General features: G+C 44.1%; 1 long non-coding RNA gene and 1 pseudogene across 1 annotated transcript, besides 1 other annotated feature; one reads left to right on the top strand and one right to left on the bottom strand.

Moving 5' to 3' along the window:
* Positions 1-5,933: 5,933 nt before the first annotated feature.
* On the bottom strand, positions 5,934-9,167 carry LOC124903138 (uncharacterized). The gene is made up of 2 exons (XR_007063733.1): positions 8,000-9,167; positions 5,934-7,246 (listed from the first exon to the last, which is right to left on the bottom strand). It is a non-coding gene; the product is annotated as an uncharacterized LOC124903138 (long non-coding RNA).
* Positions 7,959-8,529: an enhancer, noted in NCBI's record as "H3K4me1 hESC enhancer chr13:27977989-27978559 (GRCh37/hg19 assembly coordinates)". NCBI's record gives its function as "activates a minimal SCP1, AML or CMV promoter by ChIP-STARR-seq in naive H9 embryonic stem cells {active_cell/tissue: H9 hESC(naive)}" and the evidence as "EXISTENCE:reporter gene assay evidence [ECO:0000049][PMID:30033119]".
* On the top strand, positions 9,794-9,905 carry RNY1P1 (RNY1 pseudogene 1; annotated as a pseudogene).

The following is a 10,466-nucleotide window of genomic DNA, read 5'->3' as shown; positions in this document are numbered from 1 at the left end:
CTCCATCTCAGGGTCTGCTTCTGGGGAACTCAGATTCAAATCATTTTGTAAAGCTTATTGTGAAAAACAATGTGCCATCATCCCCTGGATTCCCTTCAGTTTCTTGTTCTCCAGAAGCAACCATTCATTCTACATTCGTTTTAGCTTTTTTTCCCCCTATGTTCCTTCAGATCTCTAAATAATATTCCTATAGTGCTGCTTCCTGATTTTTCAGTTTTAGGCATTTCTATTTATTTTCCTCTATGGAATATGACAGACAATTAAGTTCCCACCCTCCATCCTCACCCCCACCCTTAGCTCACCTCTTTCTCTCCATTTTCCTAATATGATTATAAAACAATACTAGGGGCCAGGCTCAGTGGCTCACGCGTGTAATCCCAGCACTTTGGGAGGCTGTGGCGGGCAGATCATGAGGTCAGGAGATCAATACCATCCTGGCCAACGTGGTGAAACCCCGTCTCTACTAAAAATACAAAAATTAGCCGGGTGTGGTGGCACATGCTTGTAATCCCAGCTACTCGAGAGGCTGAAGCAGGAGAATCACCTGAACCCAGGAGGTGGAGGTTGCAGTGAGCGGAGATGGTGCCATTGGACTCCAGTCTGGCCAACAGAACGAGACTCTGTCTCAAAAAGACGAAAAACAAAACAAAACAATACTAGGTTACTCTTAGATAGAACTTACTACATTCCAGGCATTGTTCTAGGCATTTTACATGTGTTAATTCACTCAATACTGCCCCAAGCCCTAGACAATAAGTTCTGTGATCATCCCCGTGTTACAGATAAGGAAACTGGGTCACCGAGTGGTTAAGCGAATGGCCCAGTCACACAGCTAGTAAGTGGTGGATACAGATTTGAATATAAACAGTATGGTTTCAGAGTCTATGCTCTCAATTGCCACATCATATTGCTGGGATTATGCCATAATTTTAGTTAGACCAGTCTTCAGTATTTATATGTACTAATATGATTACATCAGTGCTATGTAGGTGGTAAACTGTGATTTCTCTTTCCTTCTTGAAAAACATTTTATTTTACCCAGAGTTTAAAATTTTTTTTTGTTCGTTTATCTGTTCTTTTGTGTCTTATACATTTATCACAAATTCAACTTATCTGAATCGCAACTCAATATTGCATCAGGTATTTGACCAATTTTACCTTTGGGAGAAATTTCTCTTGGAGCACTTCTTGAACTCCTGACTTCAAGTGATCTGCCTGTCTCAGCCTCCCAAAGTGCTTGGATTACAGGCATGAGCCACCACACCTGGCCTTTCCTGGAGCACTTCTGACCTGTTCCCATGTGGACTGGGAGCTCCCAGAACCTGCTACAGAGCCCTTATCCTGGGATCCCCTTTCCTCATTTTCCATGGGCTTCCCTTTGCCCCTCTCCTATTTCCTGGATCCCAAGTCTTTGTTTTTCCTGGTTTACCATTTTGTCTTGATGGAATGCTCTGTAGCTTCCTGGGGATGGGAGGAGTCAACACAGGAAGGAAAATTTGGGAAACCTTGTATATCTAAAAATGACTTTTGGTAAGGTGCAGTGGCTCATGCCTATAATCCCCGTGCTTTGGGAGGCCAAGGTGGGCAGTTCGCTTGAGCCTAAGAGTTTGGGACCAGCCTGGGCAACATGGCAAAACCCCTCTCTACCAAAAAAAAAATAAATAAATAAAAATTACCTGGGTGCGATGGCACCCATCTGTAGTCCCAGCTACTTGGGAGGCTGAGGAGGGAGGATCGCCTGAGCCTGGGAGGTCAAGGCTGTAGTGAGCCGTGATCACACCACTGCACTCCAGCCTGGTGATGGAGACCTTGTCTCAAAAATAAATAAATAAATAAAAATAAAATAAAAATGTGTTTTGTCTGCCTACCCCCATAATTCATTGATTGCTTGACTGACTATAGAATTCTAAGTTTGAAATATTGTTTCCTCAGGATTTTGAAGACATTGCTTCATTGCCACCTAGCTTCCAGCATTCTGCTGGAAAGTCTGAAAACATTTTGACTCCTGATCCTTTATATGTGCCTCTACTGGCTTTGTTTTTCCTCGAGCACTCTGGAAATGTTTAGGATCTTCTCCTACTTAGTGTTCTGAAATTTCACAGTGACGTGCAATGATGTGTCTTGGTTTGGTCTATTTCATCCATTGAGCTGGGTACAAAGTGGGTTCTCATGATTTAGAAATCTATATCTGTAGTTTTAGGAGATATTCTTGAATTACTTCTTGGTTGATGCCCTCTGATCCTCTAGTGTTCTCATCTTTTCATTAGAGAATGTTTCATTTCTTTTTCTTTTTTCCTTTTTTTGCTCTATTTTCTGGGAGATTCCTCCAGCTTTATTTTCTAACCCTTTTATTAAGTTTTTAAAATATTCTAAAATATTCTATCATATTTTTATGTTTTAAAATTTCTGCTACGTTTTAAATTTAAAATTTTTAAATTTAATCTCTGCTTGTTACTTTTTCATAGCATCCTGTTCTTGTTTTATGCATGTGCTATCTTCTCATCTATTTGAGGATATTAATAGTAGTGATTTTGAAATTTGAAACTCCCTACATGATCTGTTTCCTCCACTTTGCATTGTTCTCTTCGTATTTGTCCCTGTCTTACATCAGAGAATTCTTCAGCTATTTGGTGATCTTCTGGGACTCAGAACATACCACCCCAAAATACATAGGAGATTAGAAGATAACACCGCAAAAATGTACTTCTTTGGCATGTTTTGAGCTGATTATTCTGAGAAACTGCAGATACAGGAGTAGTTCTGAAAAGCTGTCCTTTTGTAAATGGAGGTAACATCTAGAAAGAAAATCTAGTAAAAGTATCTGTATCAGGCCTGGCATGGTGGTACACACCTATAGTCCCAGCTACTCAGGAGCCTGAGTTGGGAGGATCATTTGAGCCCAAGAGGTTGAGGCTGCAGTAAGCTATGATCACGCCACAGCACTCCAGCCTGGGTGACAGAGCAAGAACCTGTCTCAGAAAAACAAAGAAACAAAAAAACTTCTGTCTCTTATAATGTCATAACTTCCTTTAAAAAGTGAAAACAAAAAAGTACCTGTATCAGGAAGAGGGATGCTCCAGACAACTTTTATTACCTGAAAGACCAGACAACTTTTATTACCTGAAAGACCTTTTATCTGCACAAGACAACCTTTGTTCACCATGCATTTCCACCCCTCTTCCTCCCATACCTTGTTGCCATCTCCTGCTAGAAGCCCTGAGGCCCTATTTCTTTCTGTAGCTCAGGATGGGATATAAGCTTCGGTCATCTGGCCCTTCTTCAAGTCTCATATATTGTGGGACTGCTGTGCGTATGTACATAATTAAACATGGTTTTTCTCCTGATAATCTGTCTTATGTCCATTTAATTATTTGTAGCCCAGCCAAAGGGTGGAGGGAAGCCCTTTTTCCCTCCCCTACAGATCCCTGGCTGCTTTCTCATATTTAATTAAAAACTAATTGAAGCCCTGGACTCATGAGGGATGACCAAGAGCTGGGCTGTTTCATTGGCAGCCCCGGTGTCTGTAGGGCTTTCCTCTTGGGGTGGTCACAGCCCTCAAGTCCCTGCACATTGCGTTCTGCTGGCTGCTAGTTGTGGGGAAAGAGAGTGGGGGTTGCCCTGTTCATTGTATAAACTTTTCCTTAGTTTCTGTACCCTCAACTGTACCATTCCCATCAATCCAGAGACCCGGTGCTTTTACGTCTTCATTGGGTATAACTATCTCCAGGCTTCTTCTGGAAATAGAAAGGTGAAATTACCCACAGTGAGGAGTGAGGGCATTTGTGTGTGTGTTGTTGCATGTTGTAAGACCTAAAATGTCATGTGCTGCATGATGTCTTAGAGCCTCACAGGGCCCCAAAGGCCTGACTATGAGTTTCCCTGCTCTGGCCAGATATGCTCCCCCGAGCAACAAATCTCCTCCACCTGGCCAGTTCCCCTCTCAGCCAGACCAGCAGCACTCCACCTGATCCTCCACCTAACAGGCTTCACCTCCTTGCCAGTCTGTGGAATTATTCAAACAAACCAATCACATCCTCCCCTGGAAACCAGGGAGCACCTCATCCTCCTGTTACTACAAAGCCTCCTCTCACAGCCCCTACTGGTTCATCCAGTGCCGCCGCTGTGTGGCCCTGCACAGTGTGTGGCGTCCTCCTCCCCTGGCTGTTTGAGTATGTGTGACTGATGAACTGTTGTCATCTCATCAGCCCAGTGCTGGGTGTCATGTGTTCAGCCACCTTACACTGTTTAGGGCAGAAGATCCCCCCTCACTAACATGGTAAATAGAAGAAAATCCGTACAGAGTGTGTGTCTCTGTGTGTATGTATGCATGCATGCATGTGTGTGCAGTGTGCTTAGGGGTCTAACTACTTCTTAAACAGACCTTCAGTCAGTTTTCTATTTCTAGCACCTCCCCTCTTCTAGAGAAAAAATGATAAATGCTGGAGTCAGACTGCCTGGAATTGGATTCTAGTTCTGTCCCACTTCCTGACGGTGGGGTCTTGGCAAGTTATTCAACTTTTCAGTACCTCAGTTTCCTCATCTGGGAAATGAGGATAATAACAGTGCAGGATTATTGTGATGAGTCAATGACACTACATGCAAAGGGCTCACTTTGGGCTCCTTATAAAAGATGTTGGATTGAATATAAGCATTTACTTGTGCTTCCTCTGAACCCTCAAATAAGTAATGGTGAGGTCCTTTTTCAAAAAAGCATATTACCCCAGAAGGACAAATGAACCAGAGACAAGAGACTGTAGCAACAACATTTTTGGATGCTGGAAAGCAAAAATTGAATGGTAACTGATTGAGCAGAGGCAAGAAGCCATGGGGAGAATTGAATAAGTTAACACATACTAGGCACTGCAAACAGTCAAGTGCAGTAAAACTGTTGTGGAAAGCTTTAGGTTGGCAGAAAAAGAAAATATTTTGAAGAGGCTGAGATAAGTCCACAGACTTCCTGAGAAAAAGAACTGACAGCAATCAGTACTGCCTGGGAATGGTAGGTGAAGAAATGTGAATAAGGCTGACTTATTCCCAACTGAAAGTAAGTTTTGAACTACACAGGGTTGGGGACTTTGGAAAGGAATTATCTTAATATAAATAGACAAATGAAAGAAGTTGTATATTAAAATTATATAAAGCTTGACCACCCTTCCATGCAGGGAATGAATTTCAGGCAGTGCACCCTGAAATGGAGGTGGATACAACCTGGAATTGACACTGACTCCCATGGGTACTGCAGCCTCCACTGGCACACCCCAAATTTCTAAGCGCAGTTTCAGGCACTGCTGTAAGCACTGGGAAGACAGTGATGAACGAAATAGGCAAAGTCCCTGCCAACACAGAAGGATCCAGATGCTGGTGGGTTTTTTTTGTCGTTGGTTTTGTTTTATTTTGTTTGAGAGACAGGGTCTCACTCTGTCACCCGGCTGGAGTGCAGGGGTGTGATCGCGGCTCACTGCAACCTCCGCCTCCTGGATTCAAGTGATTCTCCTGCCTCAGTCTCTTGAGTAGCTGGGATTACAGACACGTGCCACCACGCCTGGCTAATTTCTGTATTTTTAGTAGAGACGGGATTTCGCCACATTGGCCAGGCTGATCTTGAACTCCTGACCTCAGGTGATCCGCCCACCTCCCAAAGTGCTGAGATTACAGGTGTGAACCACCATGGCCAGCCCAGATGCTGTTTTAGCCTCCGACAGAGGGAAGCCAAAGGCACCGGGTGCTTGGGGGAGAGGGTGGGAAGGAGAGGTTTCTCTCAGCAAGGAAGGGAGGCTGAAGTCACTGGTTCAAACCAAATGTCCAGTTTCCACAACACCATTGCCCAGAGTGTGTGTGCTACTTCACAACCATGAATTTGTCCTGCCACCCATGTGGTTTCTGAGAAGAAACCACCACAGAGCCATCTTGTGGTGGAAAAAAAGACACACAGGTTTCACCATGAACACTTTATTGGATTTTATATGGCATTAGCAGGTGTAAATACATCTGCATGCTATTGTACCCTTGAATCCTCCCATATGGTCCAGCAGCATTTTAAAGTGGTCAGCAAATGTTTACAGCAATCTACACTTGTCCCACTAACACATTTACCACAGGTAATTAACTTAACTACCTGATAAAAATGTAATTGGCGTGTTGTAATGCGAGCTATTGTCTGAGAAGACTTTGACTGACAGTTACTTACATTTGCTTCTTGGTTATCTTTATAGGCACATAATTAAATCCAAATTCGATCATTATTTTGTGATTTGATTAAAGTAAACAGTCAAATTGGGTAATCATGGTCCAGAAAGATTTATTATTTGCCTCAATTATGCAGTTTGGATTTTTTATATTGTTAGAACATAATAAGAAATTAGTCTGATTGCTCTCTCCATGCTGTCAGATGCTGTGTGGCCACACCCTCCATGTCAGGGAGAAACCTGATTCAGCAGAGATGACTTCATGAGGCTGTGGAATATGAATTTGTATGATTCAAGGACTCATGTTGCCTCTCCTGGAAGCATCCATCATTGCATCTGAGCCATTGAGCACATTGCAAACAGCAACAACACACACTGAGTTCAATGACACCACAGAGAGCATCCCCACCCAGCACAGGGGACAGAATTTCAGTGCATGGATTACAAAGCAGCTGCTGCCCAAGCATGGCTCCTCTGCTGCTCCAAGCACTAGTGTCACCTGTGGATACACAGCTGTTATAAACAGCTTGAACAACCGTGAAAAGCCTCCCCAAGTTGCTTCGGCTACGACTGGTGATACACACGCACCGCCAGTCTTCATACAAACTTCAGCCCTCAAATAAGCAAACAGCCTCCTGCATAAGCTCAGCAGATGCCCCCATCTTCAACGCTCATAAGAGACACTTCAAAAATGTGGCTTCAGGGTTCTTCTCACTCTGCTTAGAGAGTGCTCGGGATTCACCAGGTGCTTCCACAGATTTGGGCAAGTTTGCAGTGGCCTGCCCAATAACGACGCCTTTGCTGAGCTGTGTTTATGAAGGCCAAGTCTCAAGACCACGAACAATGGAACCATAAGAGCCTCAGCTTGGTACCAATGTTTCCAGGCACTAAGTTACAGTCCCAAACCCAGTCCATGGGGATACTCTGCTACAGATGACTTTGGCCATGCCCTGGAAGTTGGTTAAGACAGAATTCAGTTCAATTTTTCCAGCGGGTGGAGGTTGCAGTGAGCCGAGATCACACCACAGCACTCCAGCCTTGGTGACAGAGCAAGACTCCATCTCAAAAAAAAAAAAAAAAAGAAAAAAAGAAAGAATTCAGTTCAATTTTTAAAACAACTGGTTTTTCCCATTTCCTTAGGGAAACCTGGAATGTGTTTCCTGCTCCTCCACACCTGTCCAGCCTCCCACCCCGGCGCCAACCTGATCTTTGCCCAGCAGACGCGGAGGCGCCTGCCCAACCTCAGCCCTGTGCCCACGAGGGCCTCAGAGCCCGCAGACTTCCTGCCGGGACCTGCTGGCCTTGCCCATGTTTTAGCTCCTGGCTCTGCTAGTCTTTTCCTGCTGTCTCATGGTCTCACGTGTAACACTCACATCTCCCCAGTGAGACCGTAAGTGACGTGAAGGCAGCAAGCAACAGGTGTAGAGCAGGTCATACGATCTGTGTGTTCGCTCAGCAAATACGGAACGCCTGCTCCATGCCAGACCCTGCTCTACACCCGAGGAAGACGGTGATGAACAAATAAACCCATCATACCCTAGATGCACAATCTGAAGGATGCTCCCAGGTCACCCAGGATGGGAATAAAACCAGAGCCTTCAGTGATGCCAGTTAATCAGACCCTTGGCTTTCGGTTTTACTGTGCATCACTGTGAACTGATGTGCATGCGTTAGATGGCACATTTCCTGACGAGGGACAGGCTCCGGGAAGTCCATGGGGCTGCTAACATCTTAGTAATCCAGTGGTTCTCACAAGATATGCAGTATTTGTCCCACTGGGGGGACTTGATGACCATGAGCCCTGCAGCACTCACCTCAGCACAGTGCCCAACAGCAGGAGGAAGTCAGGGGGCCATTTGCACTGCCGATTTCAAATTACCCTTAGCAAATATGGTTCACTTCATAGAGCAAACAGGATCAGCCAGTTAATCTATGGAGCAAGAGAGAAAGAACTTTACCCATAATTAATGTTTTACTACCTCTCTCAAAAAGCGTAACCTTTAACCCCCAAATCAACTCTAAAATGAGGCGAAGGAGGAACAGCTCCTGGTCAGTCCCGGTGCTGGCTCTGTCCCTCTGCCAATGCTGTTTCGATCTGGAGAAACAAATAAACGGAAATATAAGCTCTTTACAGCACACGGTGAAGCAGACCCACAATTTCCAGACCAGAGGCAGCCTCGAGTGGAGTGATATATGGCTGTCTTCCTGAGTGCTCTCCTGCCTGAGACCGAGCTAGGCCCCAGGAGTAAACTGGTGGTGAGGGAAACCCTTCCATGTGCCTGGAGAGCAGTGTGGCAGGAGGTGGGCCTGCCTAGAGCTGACTGCAGAAATTCTGTCGTGGACTTAGCTCCAGCAGCAACTAATTGACTACCTCAAGGAGTTAATGCTTCCACAAATATGCCAGACAGTGCCAGTAACTACCAGGAAGGATCTCATTTAGCACAAGGATTGCATTGACTCCAAAGTTGAAATCAAACTTGGTGGTGATTAGAAATGGCCTTAGTGAAGCCCAAGCCAGGAAGAGAGCTGTTCTGTGTAAGATATCAGTTATGCGGTAGAATTCTCTAGAGCCAGTACTGCTAACCCAATGCCCAGCCTGCCTCCTGCTAAGCAGATCACTCAGGTTCTTTTTGCATGCCTATTGTGTCAATGACAGGCAGTTCCAGACACTTTCATTTTTATATAAGCCTAAGTATTTGTGACCTAAGAAGTGAGTCATTAGGAGTCGGTACAGCTTATTATTCACACACTAAAACTAGCACAGAACTAGCATTTACCAAGGGTTTAACTTCAGTTCCTTCCCAGAGATCTGGCTGCTGTGCACGGCTTAGCTCTGTGGCCCACATATGCAGCATAGTTGGAATTCCTGCAGTTTGGAAGAGGAACAATTTGCTATTAGTGCTGTCTTGAGGTTGTCATGCTTTATAAGTGCTGCTTTTCTTGCTTTTGAATTATAACTTACAGTTGGTTTTGTGTCTTTATTGCCAACTTAGTTCACTGTGTGTTGTCTGGTTAGTGTGTGATGGTATATTCTAGCATCTGCCTATGCTGTTCTGGTAACTACACTTGAACACATAAACACACTAGGTTCAAATATGAACCACGCATGCCGCTATTGCTAAATGAAAAATGTATGTGATTCTGCCAGATGTATGTGGGCATCCCTTTTCCTACGCCATATGGAAAGTGAATGAGGGAGGTAGGCCATGAAGTTTCTGGCTTGTCAAAGTAGGGTGCTGTCAAAAAAGTTTTGCAGGCTCCAGTCCTAGAAGTCTGGAATTACATTACACCAGTGTATGCAGTGGTGTGCTAGTAGAGATGTTTGCAGCCAGCTTTCAGGGGTAAAAAGTGTGTCTGTGTGTGTGCGTGTTTAATATGTTTATTATAAATGTTGATACAGATGTGTGATGTGCAACTTACAAATAAACATACAATTAAATATACAATACTCTTAATCACAAATCCCATATAACCGACTCTCACTAAATGCTTTCAGTTGATTTTTGTTGAATCTTGTATCCATAGCCAAACTGTAGTTGCAATTGATGAACAAGTGCGGTTCCAACATAAATGTTAGTTGTCATTTTGTTTAAGAGTAAGACAAAAGTGGGTGATCGAAAGGTAGTGAGTTATCTCAACCGATAGTTCATAGTTAGTTACAGATCCAACTCTTTATTCTACACTTTCCTCCTTCTCACTCCTGCACTTGACTAGTCTAAAAAAAAAAAAATGCCAGGCGTGGTGGCTCGCGCCTGTAATCTCAGCACTTTGGGAGGCCGAAGAGGGTGGATAACTTGAAGTCAGGAGTTTGAGACCAGCCTGGCCAACACGGTGAAACCCCGACTCTACTAAAAATACAAAAATTAGCCAGGTGTGGTGGCGGGCAACTGTAATCCCAGCTACTTGGGAGGCTAAGGCAGGAGAATTATTTGAACCTGGGAGGCTGAGGTTGCAGTGAGCCGACATCACGCCATTGCACTACAGTCTGGCCAACAAGAGCAAAACTCCGTCTCAAAAAAAAAAAGTGTGAAATAACAAAGACTATGTCAAAATTTCAGTCCTTTATCAATGATGTGACTGTTTTGCCAAATCAGATAGTATTTTCAAAAGCTAGAAGAAAGTATTTTCAATGTTTAAGCAATCTGCAATGTAATGGCTATGAACATTACAGTTTTAAGTTTAATTTGCATCATTAACATTTTCTCCATCACTTTCTTAAGTCCAGGCAATCAACTAAACCATCAAGCCCTGGCTTGCAGTGTTTGCCCTTGTTCTGGTAAA

The sequence above is a fragment of the Homo sapiens genome, chromosome 13 (assembly GCF_000001405.40).
Source record: "Homo sapiens chromosome 13, GRCh38.p14 Primary Assembly".
In the NCBI taxonomy this organism is placed as follows: Eukaryota; Metazoa; Chordata; class Mammalia; order Primates; family Hominidae; genus Homo; species Homo sapiens.
This window is presented reverse-complemented; position numbering and strand designations above follow the sequence as displayed.